This window comes from Homo sapiens, chromosome 2 (genome assembly GCF_000001405.40).
Source record: "Homo sapiens chromosome 2, GRCh38.p14 Primary Assembly".
NCBI classification, from domain to species: domain Eukaryota; kingdom Metazoa; phylum Chordata; class Mammalia; order Primates; family Hominidae; genus Homo; species Homo sapiens.
Genome location: NC_000002.12, coordinates 62,984,071 through 63,004,636, shown reverse-complemented (window position 1 = coordinate 63,004,636; position 20,566 = coordinate 62,984,071). Strand labels below are relative to the sequence as shown.

The 20,566-nt window shown below is 33.8% G+C and overlaps 1 protein-coding gene across 52 annotated transcripts in view; it reads right to left on the bottom strand.

Moving 5' to 3' along the window:
• The window catches only part of EHBP1 (EH domain binding protein 1), a 372,610-nt gene that overhangs the window by 41,851 nt on the left and 310,193 nt on the right, over positions 1–20,566 (bottom strand). For 30 of the 52 annotated variants that reach the window (XM_047443744.1, XM_011532718.4, XM_047443745.1 and 27 more), the window contains 5 exons: positions 16,599–16,706; positions 13,797–13,921; positions 10,969–11,107; positions 10,660–10,766; positions 7,871–7,994 (listed from right to left, as the gene is read on the bottom strand). In XM_047443744.1, the coding sequence (XP_047299700.1) occupies positions 7,871–7,994; positions 10,660–10,766; positions 10,969–11,107; positions 13,797–13,921; positions 16,599–16,706 (603 nt within the window). The remainder of the gene's footprint in view (positions 1–7,870; positions 7,995–10,659; positions 10,767–10,968; positions 11,108–13,796; positions 13,922–16,598; positions 16,707–20,566) is intronic. The other 22 variants (NM_001142615.3, XM_017003650.2, NM_001354218.1 and 19 more) reach the window with 1 other exon arrangement.

The following is a 20,566-nucleotide window of genomic DNA, read 5'->3' as shown; positions in this document are numbered from 1 at the left end:
CTCAAGCTATTAAAAACCATTTGTTCTCTTATTTTATTGAAGTTATTATCTACCTTCATTGAATGAAAGCCAGTCTACATTGGAGAATGTTCCCAAAGTATTTACTTTTTTCTTGTTAATAAATATAAATTATTTTCATATACTTGATAGGTGTGTTGTTACCAATCACTGTCATTTGGTATTAGACCATATTGTGGGGGAAAAAAGGATCATGATAGAGAAGAGGACCTTCCCATATGCCCTATCTTATCAGGATGATATATGACATGTCATTTTCTTAAGATGTAGTTAAAAGAACTTACACTTCCATAAGATCTTTCATCCCAGAAGATAAGACTAACAAAATTTTTATGAGCCATTTTGCTTTGTGATTGGCCTTTTGCTTAAATTGTGAACTGAACTGTTACCAAAGAAAATCCATGTATCCACCATTTAATAATTGGATGGCATGCCAGTCTTTAAATTTGTACAGAAGGAAAAAAGAAGAGGAAAAAAAGAAGTTATGTACAGAAAAGTGGAAGTCAAAACAAAAAAGCTTATCAAATATGTCACAGATATAGCTCCCAGATATAATTTTATGAATTAAGATGGATTAGCAAAATAATACTTTATAGAAAATTTTAAAGAGTCAGTTTAAAACAACAGATACATGTCCCTAAATAATTTCTAAAAGACTACAATGCTTTAACAGCATCAAGATGGTATTGTCTCACTTTTCATAAACAGATTTTAGAATACTATCTCTCCTAAATATTTTAACTCCTTACATAGTGGAAATGTAAATTCTAAACTATAAAATTAAATGCTTTTGAAGGACACTGAGCTCCCTCTGGTGAAGGCATAACAAGTTTATTAAGTAAGCACCACCTCTGGAATTATAATCCCCTCTGGCTTCTTCCGCTGAGTTTATTGGTTCAATTTTCATAACCATGAGCATCATCAGGGCAATGCAGTAATTAAGAGTTGTTAGAAAGTGAATTCTCAAACTGCAGATTAGAAAATTAAACTATTTCCTGATTACATATTAATGGAGCACAACAATAGCAGTTGCCATAAGCTTGGAAGGCAACCAAGGGATAAATCTGTGTACTTAATTACCATAAACAATGGCTGCATAGAAATGAAGTTTTATGCACATTCCCTTCTGTAATATGTCTGATATCAGTACACACTTGACAATTCTTGTTCAATTATCTCTATTATTTAATGCGCTGTGAACGGCTCTGTGTAAATAAAATTAACCACCCCAATTACTTTGAATTCATCTAGGGACTACGTAATAAAAAATGTGAAGAATTCTGCATGCCTATTAATCTAAAACATTACACAAGCTTTCTCATATGCGCTTGTCTATATTTATTTTGTCTACATTTATTTTACTGCTCTGCTAATTCAATTACGTTTACCATTGGTGGTCAATAGAGTTTTTGTTATTTAATTAATACTTATATAGCACCATAAACATGTTCATTATCTGATAATACCTACATGGTCTGAAATGGTGACTAGTGACTATTCACTAACAGAATTTATATCTTACCAAACTTATAAGTCTAGGTATAATCATTAAAAACATTTTTAAAAAATCATATGGACCAAATTCGTAATTATAATAAAGTTCAGAATGCAACTTGTAGGATAAGAAATGAGAAAATGAGATAAAAGTAAATCAGAGAAAGATACACATAGTATAAAATAGTTACATGATCCCTACATTTTTAATGTCTTGGTTTCATTTTGAATTTTGTACTAACTCAGTATCTATGAGTTGGATCATAAAAATCCATCTACTTTATTCATGGAATGAACTAGCTCAGCAATAGAAGTTACATTGTTATAATAACAAGATAAGTCTGTATCTGTGATCAGTTAATGTTGGTCATCATGGAGAGAAAATAAATCACTGAGAGTAAAATTAGACTACTCTGTACTTTGATCATACAAATGCTTTTTCTTTTTTTATATCTTCTGCACATCCCTTTTCTCTTACTCATTCACAGAGCAAATCTTTTATGATCATATATAGCATTTCAGGAATATAAGTAACAACCATAAGTAAACCCTCCAGAAATGGAAAAATTTTGAGTATTTAGATTTTAATGAAGAGAAGTGACATTGACTGAACCAGCATTCATGCCACCGAGGTACTAATTTTCTATAAGTTCTTCTAATACACTGAGAAACTATACTTTTTTAAATAGCTGAGATTACATTTTTGTATTGAAAAAGATCAAGATCACATTTTCCCTTTTAAAAGTAAAACTAAAGGGCTTTAACATAGGAAGTGTACATATATATCTACTGTCATAAATTGTAAGCTGCTAATATAAAAATAACTACCTTAATTTAGAAGTCAGTCACTGAAATATTAACTAGTTTTATTTTTAACATAACTCAAAAAAACATTTTCGGGTATTCCTAAGTAGCTAGTCCCAGACTGAAAACTACCCTCTGAAGGTTATAATGTTCAAATTTGAGAACCTTCTAAAGATTAGTAAAGAGTGAGATGCTTCTTTTGAAGGGAACCTTGTTTGTATCCTTTTTATTATCCCAAATGGGGATGTTTTACAGTCTGATTTTCATGCATATTACATTGTGATGACCAGGGTAAAGAAATACTGTTAAGAGGCACATGAGCTTGTTGGGTCTCAAATGAGCCAAATAGGTTGGCTAGGTATCTTTTTGCATAAGTGAATATTGATCTGTTTCTTCTGACTTACTAATTATAAATCATAAAATGGTAATGACAGTGTCCAGAGAATTACTAGTAGAACCCCAGGAAAATCAGAAGTTCACCTCTAAGAAGATGAGAGATGAAGCAGGGATCATGTCAGGTGGTATCTGGGAGTCAGGCTCCAGAGCCATCAGACTGGGTCTAACTCCTGCTCTCCCACTTGTAAACTGTATGAATTGGGCAACTAAGTTACTTCTGTCTCTAGGCCTCAGTTTCCTCATCTGAAAAAGGTGTTTATTAATAGTCCCAATTATTACTAGACCCTATCTCATAGGGCCTTTGTTAGAAACAACAAAATATGTGTAAAGCACTTTCCACAGAGCCAAATATCTAATAAGCATGCAAAAAATATTGGCCATTACTGTCATCTTGATTTTTATTTTTTGTGGGCCCTATTCCCTGCTTTAAAGCAGCTTTAATACTACATTTGATTCCTCAAAGGAGGAGGTAAAGAAACATTCTGAAGAATGTATAGAAAAAAGTTCTTTTAATTTATTTTCTTCTCTAAGTATATTTCATATTTTTAAATGGCCAGTTAGGTTTTTGGAACAGATACTCTACGAAAAGCTACAGTATCAGTATTTTTGAGAAGGCTCATGATCCTTTTACTCAGTGCTTAAAGGTTATAAACTTGCAAGATGCAATTTTATTGTTATTCTCCGCTCAGGAATGTTTTAACTTTTACTCTCAAAATGTAAATAAAACACTGTAACTTTTAAAAAACTCAAATCATTAGATTAAATTAAAACACTGCAGTTAAAAAGTTTGATAACCATTAAAAGAAAACAGATTGGGAATGGAAAAGAAACACCATTCATTATAGCAACACTATCTGTAGCACTATAGTAAAAGGGCCCATCAGCATTTCCATTATAAACTCCATTTTTCATGGGTTACAACATTGCTGGCACAGATCCATTAGCACTAAACTTACATAAGAAGTGTCAGCTTGGAATACATGATATTTCTAACTAATAAGTTTTGCTCTTCCCAAATAAGAAATCATTACAAAGTTAAAGTACTAGAAACTAAAATATTCCTCCTCAAAAACAGTTATACACAGACGTACACACACACACACACCATTAAGAGCTGAGGAGAAAAAAATTCACTTGTATTTGCATAGGGATTTTATAGACCCCAAGGTAAAATGGCAGAAAATACTATGCCTTGAAATATAGTTTTTGTTGTTGTTGTTGTTTTGAGACAGAGTTTTGCTCTTGTTGCCCAGGCCAGAGTGCAATGGTGTGATCTTGGCTCTCACTACAACCTCCGCTACCCAGGTTCAAGAGATTATCCTGCCTCAGCTTCCCGAGTAGCTGGGATTACAGGCATCCACCACCACATCCTGCTAATTTTTTGTATTTTTAGTAGAAATGGGGTTTCACCATGTTAGCCAGGCTGGTCTCGAACTCCAGACCTCAGGTGATCCACCTGTCTCGGCCTCCCAAAGTGCTGGGATTACAGGCGTGAGCCACTACACCCGGCCTGAAATATAGTTTAAAAGAAAAAAAAAAACACACACACTCACATACACAGCATGGCTGCTCAGTATTCAAACTATCACTGATTTAGGATTACTGAACAATTTTAGAAGGAACCAGACATATAAATCCCATAGTTGTTCTATCTGTGTCGTTGGTGCCCTTTCCCAGCTCCTGCCATTCTTATCCCTGGCACCTCCCCATCTTGTTGTATGAGCCTTTTACATTCCTTTCCTACTTTCTTGCTAAGGCCTTCTGCCAACATGCCAGGAGAAATGCCCAGCAATCTGGGCCACCATCCAGGCCCCACCCATCCTGCCTCCCCCCAGGATGTAAGTAGCTTCAGCATCACAGGGGTGGTGCTTAAAATCCAATGTTGCTCAAGCTCTGGGAGCCTAGGACTCAGGTCTAAAATAACTATTAGTATTATTTAGTTATATTTGGAATTAACAGGTTTTTGTGGGTTTGTCTGGCTTGTAGACACTTACAACAGTGTTTCTTTTGGAAAATGTTTTCTGAATTCTACCTTAACCTCACAACTCATTTAAAATTGAGTACAATATTACCATATGATTCAGAAATTCCAATCCTCGGTATATACCCAAAAGAAATGAAAACAGAGATTCAGACAGATACTTGTACACAAATGTTCATAGTAGCTAAAAGTGGAAACAACCCAAATATCCATCAACAGATGAATGAATAAACAAATGTGGTATAAACATACAATAGAATATTATTCAACCATAAAAAAGAATGAAGTACTGGTACATGCTACAACATGGATGAACCTTGAAGATATGTTAAGTGAAAGAAGCCAAACACAAAAGGACAAATATCGTTTGATTCCACTTACAGGAAATAACTGCAATAAAGCAAATTCATAGAAAAAGTAGATTAAAGATTCCCAGGGGATTGGGGGAGAAGGAAATAGAAAGTTATTGCTTAGTGAGTACAGAATTCATGTTTAGGGTGATGAAAAACTTCTGAAAATACACAATGGTGATGACTATACAACACTGTGAATGTACCAAACGCTACAGAATTATGCATTTTCAAATGGTTAATTTTATATTATGTGAATTTCAAATCAGCAAAAAAAACCTGAATATAGTCAGTATCTACAAGTATATAAAAACTGAAATAGCAGATAAAGTATATTTGTTCTGTAAAGAAGATGTAGTGGGGAAAGAGGACTGAGTCAAGAGCTAGAAAACCTGAAAACCTGGGTTCAAGCCGTAACTCCACCATTCCTAATGAGATCATCTTAAGTGAGTCATTTCCCCTGTCTGAGCCTCAGTCTCATCATATAAAAAACATGGGTACTATCTGCTCTGCTTAATTCTAGGCTGAGAATCAGAAAGTACACTGAAATGTCTAACATACCAAAAAAAGGTATTATAATAAATAAAAAGTTGGAATAAACTGGAACCCAAAAGAGAAAAGGATGAATGTACCCTTTCACTTTCTAACATCTTATCTCTTACTTCAGATACTAGGTTTTAGGCAAATCTTAAAACATTATTTGTGTTGGAGGAGGTTTAAAACAGTCTAGGATGATTCTTGGAGCTTATGAACTTGGGAGACCAACTCAGTTTTGGTCTAAATCTGCAGTAGCAGATCCAGTTAGGATCAGATTCTGTCCTGTGAAGTAAGAAATATAATAAGCTCAAAAGGATTCTAGATTCAACCTGTATTCTATGACTGTCTTTCAGATTATAAAGCATCTATGGTTGGAATGGGGCCATTTCAAAGCTTGACTAGTGATATGTTGGGTAGGAAGGAGAAATTGAGTCTATTTCAGTTAGAACCCTCAACAAATCAGGCTCCAAGTGCTAAAGAGGGAGAGGAAACAGGATTTATAGCTTTTTCACTAGTGGCACAAGTCTTCTTGTATAGTAACATTGAATTTATCCAACACAATCAGGGAAGGTGGTTAAGTTCCATTTGTTTGGAAAAAAAGGAAATCTGTCTCCTTAAAATATTTACAGGAAATAGTTAAAAATATATTACAAATATTATTCAGTCTAGTAATTATATGTTTAATATAGCTAACATAGCTAATATTTTCAAAATCCCTAAGAAACCCAAGAAAAAATGCAAATATAAAACAATACATTGGTTTATGGAATCATGCTGAATCCACACAAGTATATAGGTATAAGACTGAGCATGCATGCAACTTATTAGGGGAATGATATACATGGTCTACATATTCTGGTGTAGCAAGAAGGGTCCCGTATGATAGGGCTCTGGTAGCCTGAATTCCAATCTAAGGTCTACCATGTGGTGATCTGTTTGACCTTCTTAAACATTTCCTATGCCTGTCTCCTCACCTATATAATGAGAAGATTAAGTAATAGTTTTTTTTAAAAAGTATTTTTGGTTTTAAATTTTAAGCAGTAGAACCTTTTTTTCAAATAAACTGTCCCCAAAAGCCCACTATTTCAGATAAATAAACTCAGAGCCACTCTATTTGAAGTAAGGTAAGGAATCCAGATGCCTGTCTACTTTCTGCTCCCTTATTCTCCTGGCAAGCCCCTGAGGTGCCTCTGAAGATGATTTAGGACTTCAGAGAACACAGTATGAAACCCACTGTCCCAGATAAAGCCTAAGGTTCCTTCCTGTTCTAATATGCTCTGATTTCACTAATCTATGCATTTTCAAATGTCCCATATAAATGCTTATTTTTGGAGAAGTTCTTTTATTTTAAATATATTTTTGGAAAATAGAGAAGAAAAAGTTCAGGAAAGCTTTCCAATCCTAAATCATGCTAATCTACTGTATTTTAACACTGCCATAAAATTAAAGCAATTAATTAGATTACAGGAATAAATTTTCCACTTGTATTTTTTGACTTTTTTTCTTAATATAACTTATAATTTGGTATGAATGATTTAATTTATTTCACATTTTAATCTCTTTGTAGGGGCAGCATTTTACACACACACACACACACACACACACACACACACACACACACACACACATGAGTTCCTTTCCAATTGCTTATTGTGCTCTTAGATCTATTCAATCACCATTGGCAATCAGCATTGAAAGCCAATCTGCCCTCTGGTTAGGAGCTAACTTGGTGCTCTAACCTATCTTTACAAACCTTGCTATATACTGTAATCCTTTCAAATGCAACTGTGACACAAAGTATTACAGACTTTTAAAAACCTGTTCTCTTGAAAAAAAAATTGTGGAGCATCAGTAACCAGATAGTATTCTCAAATTTCAGTGATCTAGTCCATGGAGCCGTCCCCTATGCACAGTGCTCTGTTTCATGCAGTACATGGCTTTAGCTGGCCAAATCTTTTTTTTCCCCAATGAATCAGTAGAACAGTAAAGATCTTACTTTTTTTTTAAGCAGTGGCATATCAATGAGGCACAGATGTGTATTCCAACTCTGCATGGATGAGCACACTGTTCAATAGTGCTGGCTCACACGGTATCAGGGCGAGTTATCACTTCCCATGAAGGCACTCTTATCACCAGGGCCCAGAGAGGTGGCTGCAAATCGCAGCCTTTTTATTTTCAAGGCAGTTTTGCTGAACATTCAGGCTTCAAAGATTCACACTTCCAAAACTCTATAAGAGTTTGTGAACGCTCAATTTGCCAAAACTGTTTACAGTGTAATTGGGCACCGTACCTGTGTCCATGAGATAGCGAAGGCGCTTCTCCACCAGCGCGGCACGGGTGTCAATTTGCTTTTGCTCATTCTCTAGTGCTGCCAATTCTCCTACTACATACTGACTGGTGTCTTTGAACCCTTTCTGTTAACAAGAACAAACAGGAAGGAAAAAAAAATCACTTGTAAGTTGCATTTTTCCTTTCTACAAACACTTAGTAAAGCACTTACCTAGAGAACCAAATACACCGTTAGTATCACCCTTAGTACCAAAAAGCAACTCTCTGTGATTCAAAAAATTTTCATATGTATTACATATACCAAACTTTTATAAATAGAGAGATCTTCAGCTGTTTACTATTATGTTTAGAATTTCACAGGCAGATTTGCCAGATTTTAAAAGTTAATGCTAAGTTAAAAAAAAAATTCTCCTTAGAGTTAAGTCAGAGTTATTTAAGCATGGACAAAGAAGATAATTTTCCCCTTTGTGATTATCAAAACAAACACCAATGGCACTTTTAACTCAAAAGTGTAATACACAAAAATGGAGTTCTAGTAAGGAATTGACCATGAAAGTATCCAACCTGAGAGAGTCAGATAAATTTGTTCTATGGAAATACAAAATTAAAGAGATACATTTTTTTTCAAAATGATTACATTATTTAAAATACTTTAAAAATGATAAAAAGGGAAGTTCACAATATCTCCAATTTTCCCTCCAGCTGGCTCCTGTACTTTAATATGCCATTCTGTTGATGTATTAGTAATTATTACAGTTGTAAATACTAACCTGACAGGTGGTTTCAAACCTTGCTACATAGGATCTAAGAAAACTCATATATTGATTTGGTTAATCTTCCATTTAGCCAAGTTTGGATTTTAATTTGAAAATTTACTTTTTGAACCATCCATGTTTAAAAAAATATATTTTTTATATATGTGTGCCAGTTTACCTTTAATTTTTACAATCATATTACAAATTTAAATCATCAAAGTCAGGGTTATTTATGGTATAGTCATAAAAACTGATTAATTATGGCTCCCTTTGGATTACCTGTTTACCTTTTGACATTTTTGGGGCTAAGAGATCTAATTAGCTAAGAAATATTGAAGAACTGATTAAGTGATTATTCTTACCACCACCACTCCTATCATAAGCACTTATAACATTATTTATTCAGAGAAATAAATGTGAACAAACTTCTTCTGTAAAATCCCTTCCCTTCCTAGCATGTGAATCTCTTAGAAGCTATAAAGAATTATATTTCACTACTCCTTAAACAGGAAATAAAATAAAGAATTATGTTAATTATGAGCATATTTTAGAATTCTCATGATTAATAAATATGTCTAACTATATGTGTAACTTACATACCTTTTGAACTGGTAAGTAATTTGTACTCATATGTGACCTCAATTTATACCAACTTATTATTAAATTGATTATGGCAGTTGACAAATTTAAAGTTAAAATATTTTAAGAAATCATAAAACTAAATTTCTCAGGATAGTTTGATTTTAAAAGTCACTGTATTTTTAAAAAATTTATGCAAAATGGATATTCTTCCATCTCAATACAAAATATAACAGAAAAAAATAAAATAATAGAATAAATGCTAATGGTAACTTTAAAATCTGGGATAATCTGGTGAATGCTTCTTGAACCTATCTGCCAGATAGCAGATCATTTTCAAAAGGGATATTTTATTTTCTCATTCCCATACAGACAGACAAAACAAATATAGTAGTTTGCAAAGATAATACAAAAAACAAATACATAAGGAAGCAGAAGTGATAAGCAACACACAAACTTCATTGCTCTTACTGATTGGTTCAGTTAAAAATAGAAAGAAATTTCATAATCAGATTTCTGTAGTGTGAGTACATAGTATAGTTAAGTATTCTGTAACTTAAAAGTTATACCAAATACTTCATCAGGATTATTAGTGAGCTGTTCTTTTCTAGCTCATCCCTTTCCAGGTCTTCTAAAGTAAACAACTTAAAATGAGAAGATTTTAGAGTCCTAAAATGTAGTTGGTGACTCTGAGTGTACTTGTATAAGGATTTTAAAATCCAACTATTTTAACACTGAAAACAAGAGAAAATACCTAGAAAAACTGTAGATAATTTAAAAAGTAGTACTATTAAAGAGAGCTATGCTTCCAGACAAAAATTCAAGTTAAAACTTGTTCTTCCTGCTTCTGTCCCGCAGCTGTCCATCAAAAGCAGCTTTCTCCCTGCGGTCTATCAAATATTTCCCTCACAAATCAATTTTACACATGATCAGCCCATACCCCTACTGAGCTGAACCTCCCTGTTAATTAAGTGAAGAAATTACCATATATATTATATTAATGCAAACATCATTCAGCTAGTAATTCACGGCTGATCTGGATAATGGAAAGGTTGAACACCCATTAACCCAAGCCAACAAAATGGGTTGGCTGAGAAATTCTAGCAGGTCTCATGTGACTTTTCCCTCTAACTGCAGCTCTGCGGTATCTGCTATTGTAATAATTAAAATCCTCCCAGTAGATCAATACTGGAATCTCTTTATGGGAAGTGCCCTGATGGAAATGTCTCAAGGAAACTGGGGCTGTGGAACTCTGAAAAATTCATTTTTTTTTATCTGACAATTATCACCACACTGCAGACTAATTCAACAGTGCACCCCTCTCACTCTGCTTTGAATGCACTGGAGATTGACATCTTAAAAAACCTAACATCTCATTTTAACAAATAAAGGCACTATTTCCACATACAGTTTGGAATTATCAGCAATCATGAAACCACACAAAAAATTAATATACATTAAGCACTTCATCTTCTGATGGCTTCCTCTGAGTTTCAGTTATCGCTGCCTTCTCCTCATTTCCTTTCTTTGTATCTTCCTGTATTGATCTCTGCCTTTTCATCTCTTAAAAAAAAAAGAGGAAAGACATGTAAAATTATTGTAAAGCTTGATATTTGTGTATTGAAATGTGAATTTACATTACCAGATTATATACATATATACTATATATATATGCTATATATATATACTATATATATATACTATATATAGATATCTATATATAGTTAAACCATAACATGGAAAAACATTTTAAAAAGTGTTCTACCTGGTCTATTCTCAATATATTGGCTGAAAGACTGAAGTTGAGTTTTTCTGACTGTAGAATCTTTGCTGAACACAACAGGATTTCTAAAACGTTCTGTTGTTTTTTGTAATCGTTCAGTCCGGAGATCTTCTGTGCCACTCTAAACGTAAAACAACACATGGTAAGAGAGTCCTGATCTCATAAACATAAAATTACACATTAGTAAGGCAATTTTTACTGATTTAAGATAACACTGATTTAGAAACTTTTTGCAAGAAAAGGATTTTAAAGCACTTTAAAGAGCTCAACTGCAAGTTCTGTTGCCTGTAATCACAAACTTTGGGACACATGGTTTAACTCTTGATAACTTTGATACGAATGTGTCTTCCACCAGTGATACATATCATTTAAAAGCCATGTTGCCTCCTATTTCCCCCACTATTCTGTGTCATCAGTTTGTACAGCCCCACAGACTTGTATGACAACAAGAACTAGTTTCTAATTTTATGCCCATTGAGATAAACCACTAATGCTGGATGAAGGCTAAAAGGTAGGATTATAATACTACCCTACTGAACTGCATTTCATCAGCTATAACTTTCCAAAGCCAGATTTGTAAGTAAGCCCTTTACAGCTAAGGAAACTACAATTATCTTTTCCGGAGCTTCCTATGTTAATACTGGTAACAAATTCAAATGGTTCTATCAACAAGAAATATCCCAGAAGACTGAACCACTGCAGTGTGTGGAAGCTGCAGATACCGAGGTGCTGTGTACCAAACAAATATTTCATTTTATACCTAATCTTTTATTATTTTTATTAAGTGTTTTGAAAGTAAATAGGGAAAGGCTAAGATGCATGACTAATAGCTAAGCCTGCTGAATGCTGAAACTGGTTATCAAAAGCTACCAAGACTTTGCCCTTCCTCTGCATTGAGACAATCAGTAATGAGGGAGCCCTCCAATGGCCTATTCTCTAGCCTCAAGGAGGCCTGGGATACAGAATCCTCAGGGGAAGGTAACAGTTTATTCTTTTCCACAAACACAGAATGCCTCATTTATAAATGTGTAAACTGCATTTTATTAAAAAAAATTAAAACCCAAGTCAACGCTGAAAGCTTCAAGAGAACAGATGGACTCTATATGTTCTTTATAAACACCATTTTCAAAATCTTAACTAAAAGGAATCATACAAAGGCAAGCTGTTTAAAGCACACCTTTTGTTGGAATAACTTTAAAGACTACTATATAAGAGTGTTTTGGAAAGCAAAACCAATTTTATCTATACAGATAAACCATAATAATGAAAATAACACTATTTTATTTTTTTAAAGTTATCTAATGAATTTATCATTAATATCATGCTTATAATATCCTAGCCATATAGTTATGATAGCAACAGTTTTGGCTTTTATTCTATTTTTTTAAAGAAAAATAGAGTTCTACTGTTATATAACTATCCAATAGTCTAATACTCAAGTCTTTACCAAAATAAACAAACACAGCTAAATTTTTTTAGGCCTGGCAACATGCTAAAATATCAGTGCGATTAGCCAGCAAATCCCATCTTAAGAAACCTTTTTATGACTAGGGACTTCTGCCACTTTACAAATGTATTCCTCTAAACCCACTAATTCAGTTAGCCTTTTCAATCTATTGTATTATTCTTAGGCCAGCTTCATTCTGCATTAAATCCACTGCAGAAAGCTAAATTGAACGCAAAAAATCAGACCCGATCCAGGCTTCCTTTTGTTCAAAGATAGAGACCAAAAGTCCTCTGGTGCTGCCACACACTTTCATCACCAATTTATAGAAACTGACAATATAGGGGAAAAGCAATGAAAGTCATTGTTTTGGGACTTCAAAGCATCTCTGTGTCAGGGGAAGGAAATCCTTTCAGTCAGCAGGGCAGTCCCCATAGTCCGCAGGTGGGTGAAAAGTTATACAGGACTGGAAGTGCCCTAAAGCTACAGAAATACTAATCACTGTGAGGAAAGCAGGGAAACATGTGGGTGGGAATAATATAAACAGTCTAATAATAGTCTTATAATGTGGCATTTTTGACTAAAATGTTACACAAGGTAAGATGCATAATGGCACAAAACACATGCAAGTTATCTTAAACATTTATATTCAATCACATTACCATTTTCAGGTGTGATGATTCTTACAAATAACATACATTTAGTTCATCTATATAGGCAGAAGCTTGAGGATTATTGAAAAATGCGCTAGAATTCTCTTAACAGTATTTGTCTTAGCAAAATATACATACATATAGAACTCAAGAATAGTTTCCATATTGCCTCTATTTTTACTTGAAATAGCAGTTTAAAGTAGTAGTTTCCCTGAAAAATAGTATATGAATACTGATTACCATATTGATATTTACTTATTGGCTATTTAATACAATTTTTTTAATTAATTAATTTTTTTTTTTTTTTTTTAGACAAGGTCTCACCCTGTCTCCGCTGCTGGAGTGCAGTGACATGATCACCACTCACTGCAGCCTTGAACTCCTGGGCTCAGGCAATCCTCCCGCCTCAGCCTCCTGAGTAGCTGGGACTACAGTCATGCACCACCATGCCTGGCTAATTGTTTTACTTTTAGTAGCAAAGTCTCAATATGTTGCCCAGGCTGGTCTTGAACTACTGATTCTCCTGCCTTGGCCTCCCAAAGTGCTGGACTTGCAGGCATGAGCCACCACACCTCACCAGTAAAAATTTCTTATACCCTAATCTTAATATTGGTGAAAAATTAGGTAAAAAATTGTTTTTGGAATTACAAACTCCTGGCAGAAACTAGAAGACACAGATACTAAGCCAAATGTTTTAAACAAGTAAGACTTACTTTCATGTCCTGCTCTGAGCTCTCAGTTACAGCTTTCTGGGCAGCACTGGAGGGTGAATTTGCCACCTGTGGCTGAACTTCTAGGAGCTTCTTCAGCTTCAAGTCCACCAACTTACTGTTTTGTTCTGTTAAATATGCAAATACCATGAATAACTGAGTGAGATGCATTTAGATATGTAGGCTGTCAATTTTATGTGAGCTCAGAAAAGTATTACTATATTTTAAAAGAAAGAAGAAAAGGATATTAGTAGATTAGACACATGAAAAATCCTTTACATATATATATTCCCCCACCAAAATCATTCCCCTTAAAGAATACAGTCAACATATCTAAAGAGAACTTAGTTATACTATAGTTAAATAGTAGCTAATGCTTACCTAAAAACCTATGCCTGTATGTGATGTATACATTTATATAAGCACTGTATGTTATACATAATAAAACAAGCTGTTATAACAAACTAGATATTTAAAAGAAGAGATACATTTCATTTTGAATATTATTTTGTAGTTTTCTTTTAGTATATCAGATTTATAAATATAATGCCATATTAAAACAAATTCTTAACATTATCTCAGATCATCATCATGTACATACTATTAGAATCCAGTGTTTATATATGTACCTATATAACCAGCATTGAAACAGGGTATATGTTTACAAATACCCTCTACTTAGATAGCAGAAATACAATACAGATTATTACATTTTTGGAATGTATTAATGTACATTAATCTTTCATAATACAATAGTTCAAAATGAGTAGAAACACAACTAATTCTTAAATTAATAAAAGGCAACTCCTCAATAAAATGGTCGCAATAGATATGTCCACCATTTGCTGGATGATATTTTTCATAAAGATTAATAACTTTTCTAATTATAAGACTCTTAATAAATGCTATTGTCATTACTTTCATGCAAATTGGTCAGTTTATATTGCAAGGCTTCTCTTTTAAACAATATCTGATGAACTATGGTCAAATCAAGATAAAGATTAAACAATTTATTATTAAAACCTTATGACTTATATACATATGAAAAAAATTTGGGGGGAAAATAAAGCAAGGATAAAAATCATAATATATTCTAAGGGCTTCCAGATTCTAGTTTGCATTCCTATTTCTTATTGCCACAAAATAAACCATAAATCTGAACTGGGAGGCCTGTCTACTTCCATGCCAACACTTAACTGGCATGCTTGAGAGCCGTAAACAATTTATTAGTTAACTCCAAACAGGAAGGCTGAGATGTGTGTTCGTTTTGGAAAACATTAAGTAGGAGGAGAGTTTTTAAAAATGACAAGAGTCAAGCCTGTTAGGATTAAAATTAACCCATCTTTAAAGTATCCCCCAAAGTTGCTACAGCTGAAACTAGAAAATTCTCCCCTTATTTTACCTAAGAAATGGCTATTTTTTCCTGTGTTACTAACCTACTGTAGAATCAGGACATATGCATCACATATTGTTACTGATTTTATGCTTTTATACTTCCATAAATTGAGTATTAAAAAATTAAATCCAGTACTTATGGATGTCCTCCTCAGCATTAAAAAGATGTGATTGGTTTCCGATAAAGCCTTTGGTGGTGGTTATGGTGGGAAGGTGAGTAAGCAACAAAAATGTTTTTTTAAAAAAAAATCAAACCTAACCAAGTTCTGTAGTATTTTAAACAGAAAGAAGTAAAATGTAGTTCTAATTTTGGGTTAAACATTTAAAAGTTTTCCTTAAATATCAGCATTCTTTTGGACTTGCACAATTATAAGTATACTGACTTCTATTTAGCAATAGTATAATTTAACACCCGGCCATGAAGGAGCTACTGACAAAAGGGCATGAGTTTTCTTGAGTGTTCGTTATAGTCAGGAAAACCCTGGTCACCTGTTTATTGAAGTAATAATAGTATTTCCAACAGGGAAAGAAATGGAGCAGATTAGCATTGCAGGTGCATGCCATGGATAGGAAAAAGTATGCTTGCTCTCACTCCCTTTAGCTTTTTACAGGAAAAGATAAATATTAGAGACTTTGCCTCCCTCCTTTGAGTCTAAAGAAATCACCAAAGACTTTTTATTGCCATAAGAATTCAACTCAACAAGCATTTATGGAACCCCTCAGATATACAAAACTTTGGATTGCTACTTGCTGCTGGCTTATAAAGGCAATGCATTTGGAACATTCACCTATTAAAAACCACCAGCAAATATCTTTGTATTTTAAATAAGAACTTACAAAGGTCCATTGCCAAAGCAATTTATTGATATAAGACATAAGGTTAATTTAACAGCAGTCTATATAGTTTTCAAAGTGTCTTATTGTAATCAGTTAAGTATATGTAAAATCATTTACTAGAGTAATATTTAAGTAAGGTAAGCAGAAAATCTGCAAAATAATATTATAACTAAGACTATAATTCTAAACTAAATCAGAAAATCTGATCCCATGGTTTGGATTTACATGTGGAATATATACCTTCTGACATCACACCAAAATATTTAAGCTGAGAAGGGAACCAGCTATTGAAAACCTACAGATTATCTCACATAACATAAAATACAATAGTGAATCTTAGTAACAAGAGAACACAAACTACAATTTGCTATTCCAATGTTATTGCTAATTTTAACATCCAACCTAAAACAAAATAACATAAAATTGATGGAAGGTGGACTAAGCTAAATGGTTTATGAGGCCATAAGATGTAATAAAACTACAAAATTATTATTATTATTGATGAGATAATAAAAATATAACCATAAAGTTTGCCATGCAGCAGGACACAAAACATTTATAATTTGAAATTACCGGGAGTATCAAGGTCATTTTCTAAGTTAGTAAGTTCATCTCCACCTCCTACAACAAAGCCTTCAGGGATCTCCTCGTTAGTATCTATCTCAATATTATCATTTTCATCTGTAGGAACATGTAGCAATAATGTTAGTATATTATTTATATTTTATATCATTCATCCAAAACACTAAAGAAGAAAAACCAGTATTTTAGTATAGTTATTCAAATTCAGGTCTGACACAGATAAGCAAGTTAAGAAATCAGTTTTAAGTCACTCTTTCACTATTGGATTAACATTTATATTTTACATTCCTATGTCAAACATGAATTATCACATCAAAGCAGATGCAAAGGTTTTGACAATTTGCCACACGCTGTCTCTGAATCACTGAGCTCATTGAGTCCCTGTATTTTAAAGTGTAATCTATAAGTAACTCTAACAATGGCACACAAAAATAAAGTTAGTTTGGTGACAAAGTCATCAAATATTTCTAAATTTTACACTTTTATCAGATTATTCGATTTAAATGCATAAATAAGCACACATTCCTCATATATATATTTGTCATTTTCATGAAGGCTTAAATACTTTTATGCTATTAATGAAATATTATCATAAAAACATTATGGATAGATTAAGAGTGAGACTAGCATATACAATGCCTTTATACAATGGAAAATTCAAAAACAACTAAGACAATAAATCTTGGTAGAGCAAAATCTGGGAAAAATTGTCAACCAAAATTAAATATACGGGAATGAGAAAGTCTTACATAATTTTTTATATCCCTAGTAAAATGTTTTGGGTCATAATTAATTAATGGAGTCAATTTTTGACATTAAGGATTTTTAGTAGATATTTTTTCCTCTCCAAATCCTAGTGATAAAATTGTTACAGTAATTTTGAATTCTATACATTTGAAAAGGCACAGCAGCAATTTTAGTTGCATATTAGAGGTTTAACTTTAATTTCTATCCAACAGACAGGCAATGTACCTTTTGAAGAAATAGCTCTGTAGCCCTGGGATTTGAAGAATACCCCTACTACCCTGCAACTCATTTTTTTTCAATTGGGCAACTTTTATTAGTAGTGAGGTATTCCGAAGATTTTTTTCCAATTGATAATTCTACAGTTTGGCTTAATCCCTCAACATCTGTCCCTTTCTGAAAAAGTACATCCTTAGGCTTGATTTTTGGCTTCCTAAGTAAATGCTTACTATGAGCATTAATATTAATAACAATAGTTTACATTTATTGAAGACTTCCCATCTACTATGTAAACCATTTGGAAGAAGAAAACAATAAAGAAAAAAGATTGACTGGGTGCGGTGGCTCACGCCTGTAATACCAGCACTTTGGGAGGCTGAGGCAGGTGGATCACAAGGTCAGGAGTTCAAGACCAGCCTGGCCAACATGGTGAAACCCCATCACCACTGAAAATAAAAAAATTAGCCGGGTGTGGTGGTGTGCGCCTGTAGTCCCAGCTACGAGGCTGAGGCAGGAGAATGGCTTAAAACCAGAAGGTGGAGATTGCAGTGAGCCGAGATCGCGCCACTGCACTCCAGCCTGGGTGAAAGAGCAAAACTCAGTCTCAAAAAAAAAAAAAAAAAGGAAAAAAGAAACAAGATTGAGAAATGCACCCCCCACACCAGGGGGGCAAAAAAGCATAGAGATAAAAACATTGTTAAATGCTTTCAGAGAACTAGCTAAGGTATTATACATGGCTTCATTATTTAAGCACAATCACCTGTGAGATCTTTTCTAATCAACTATGCTCAGCTTATCAACTATTTGACTCATTTCACAGAAGTGGGCATCTTCAATTTCACTATCCTCAAAATTTGTAGTTTAGCAAATAAGCTAACAAATATTTCCTGTGTGTCAAAAAGTGTTCAGAATACTTCCTCAGCATTATTCTATGTCAGAGATAGCTTCTATTAATAGTTTTTAGGGATCTAATGTAGTACTTTTTTGCTGCCAATAAGCCTCCACTGATGATTACTGAATATAATTAATCTAGAGGGAGAGTATAGAATTCAATATTCTTTCATTTATTCTAGAAACTTCTACTGTGTACTGTATACACAATATGAAAAACACTGTGCTAGATGTTGAGGAGATACCAAGTTGTATGAGACATTTATTCTACCTTAAAGGCATATTCAAGGGACTATAATACCATGTATGGTGGGGGTTACTGGATAAAAATAAGGTACAGAGCAAATTCAAAAGATAAAGAGATTATTCTTTGCCAATGACACCAGGAATTCTTTCTTGGAAACGCTAACCTTTAAATTAGGTCTTGAGAAATGTATAGAATTTCAAGAGGTACAATTGAGGGGAGGGCTTTACAGGCATGAAAGGAGGAATGGGTAGGTTATGTTCAGAGAATGGTGTAAAGTCCTATTTGGCTCAAGCATACTTAAAGAGAAATAACAGAAGGTAAGACTTGAAAGGCAAAACTATAGAGAGCCTACAGAGAGTCTTGAAGGACAGAATGGGAAGTTTAACTTTTACTTGGTAGGAATGCAGAGATACTGGTGGTCAACATGATCAGTACTGTGCTTTAGAAGATTAATTTAACAGCAATCTCCATAAGCAGTTTTCAACGGAAGTACCTTATTGTCATCAGTTGTGAAGTAGGTATAACTTATTAGTAGTAATATAAGTACTGAAGCTTATGTCTTTTATAAGTTAGAGCAGCGTCAATTATTATTTCTATAATATCACTCTTGCTCACAATCTCATATGCCTTCTTATGTGAAAGCAAAAGTGGTCTAGGGACTGTGCATAAGACAGCCCTATGCACGTGACACCATCTGTCATGCAAAATTGCTGACCTAAATGTTGGACTGGAGAACACAAAGGCTGGAGTCAATAAATGCAGGTTGGAGACTGTTATAACCCCCAGGCAAGCACTATGGAGAGCCTAACCTAGGATGAAAGAATTGGGAGTAGGTATGATGTAACTTGGAAATCAACTGGATGTTGGGCTGTGGGAGAAGGGATACTGAGGAGAGTAAGGGTGAGGCCACCATCACAATCAACTCTCCAGCCCGAGTAAACAGAATGATGGCATTGCCATGAAAAAAAATAGGTAAGTCTGGAAATGTGGTTGTATATGGGTTCTTTCAGATTCCAGGGATACCCAGGAAATGGCACCTACTTTCTTTACCCACTTATACAGTGCTAGGTTCCTGTATGATGTTAAACAGGTGCCATTTACACTACCACTCCCCAGTAATGCTGAGTGGGTTAACTCAATGTTCATATAGGTACTGCTAACCTTAGATAAAAGGATTACTATTTGGGATGGCAAGAGTAAAAAGTGATCTATACAGCTCAGGTCTTCTTAAGAATGGGTTTCTACTTTCTTTTGATTCATTGACTTCAGTTTTACAATCAACTTCGAATTCTTCTGAACAGTTAATGTTACATATTTCCTAACACCTGTAAGAAATGCTCTAACTGTATTCTTACAGAACTGAAGTGCATGTGCATGTGTGTGTTTAAAGATACTACATAAATGTATAAATATATCTTTATGGTTAAACACTGAAAACCCAGTAGGTGAACAAGGCAGAAAGTAAACTAGAGATCCATTATACAACAGAAGCTGGTTTGCAAGTATGCTATGTACTGTGTGTGCAGGAAAAGGTAAAAGGAGATTAGATATGCACTGAATGTAAAAATGCATTCCAGTTGACACTGCACAGCACTATAAGTAAAATAGATAACCCAACCGTGTGGTCAATAAGGCCAGTCTTATACTTTTTATTTATAGATAAATTGAATGAAACCAAGATATCTGGTGACAGTTAAAAAAGAGAGAGAGAGAGAATATCTGCATTTTTTAAACAGAAAGTGAAGTTATCATTAAAAACATACTTAAAAATTCCAAAAAAATTTCTCACTTATGATTTTTAAAATTCTCAACAAAGGTCCCCATAAAATTCATTATTTTTGAAGTTATTCTACAGAAA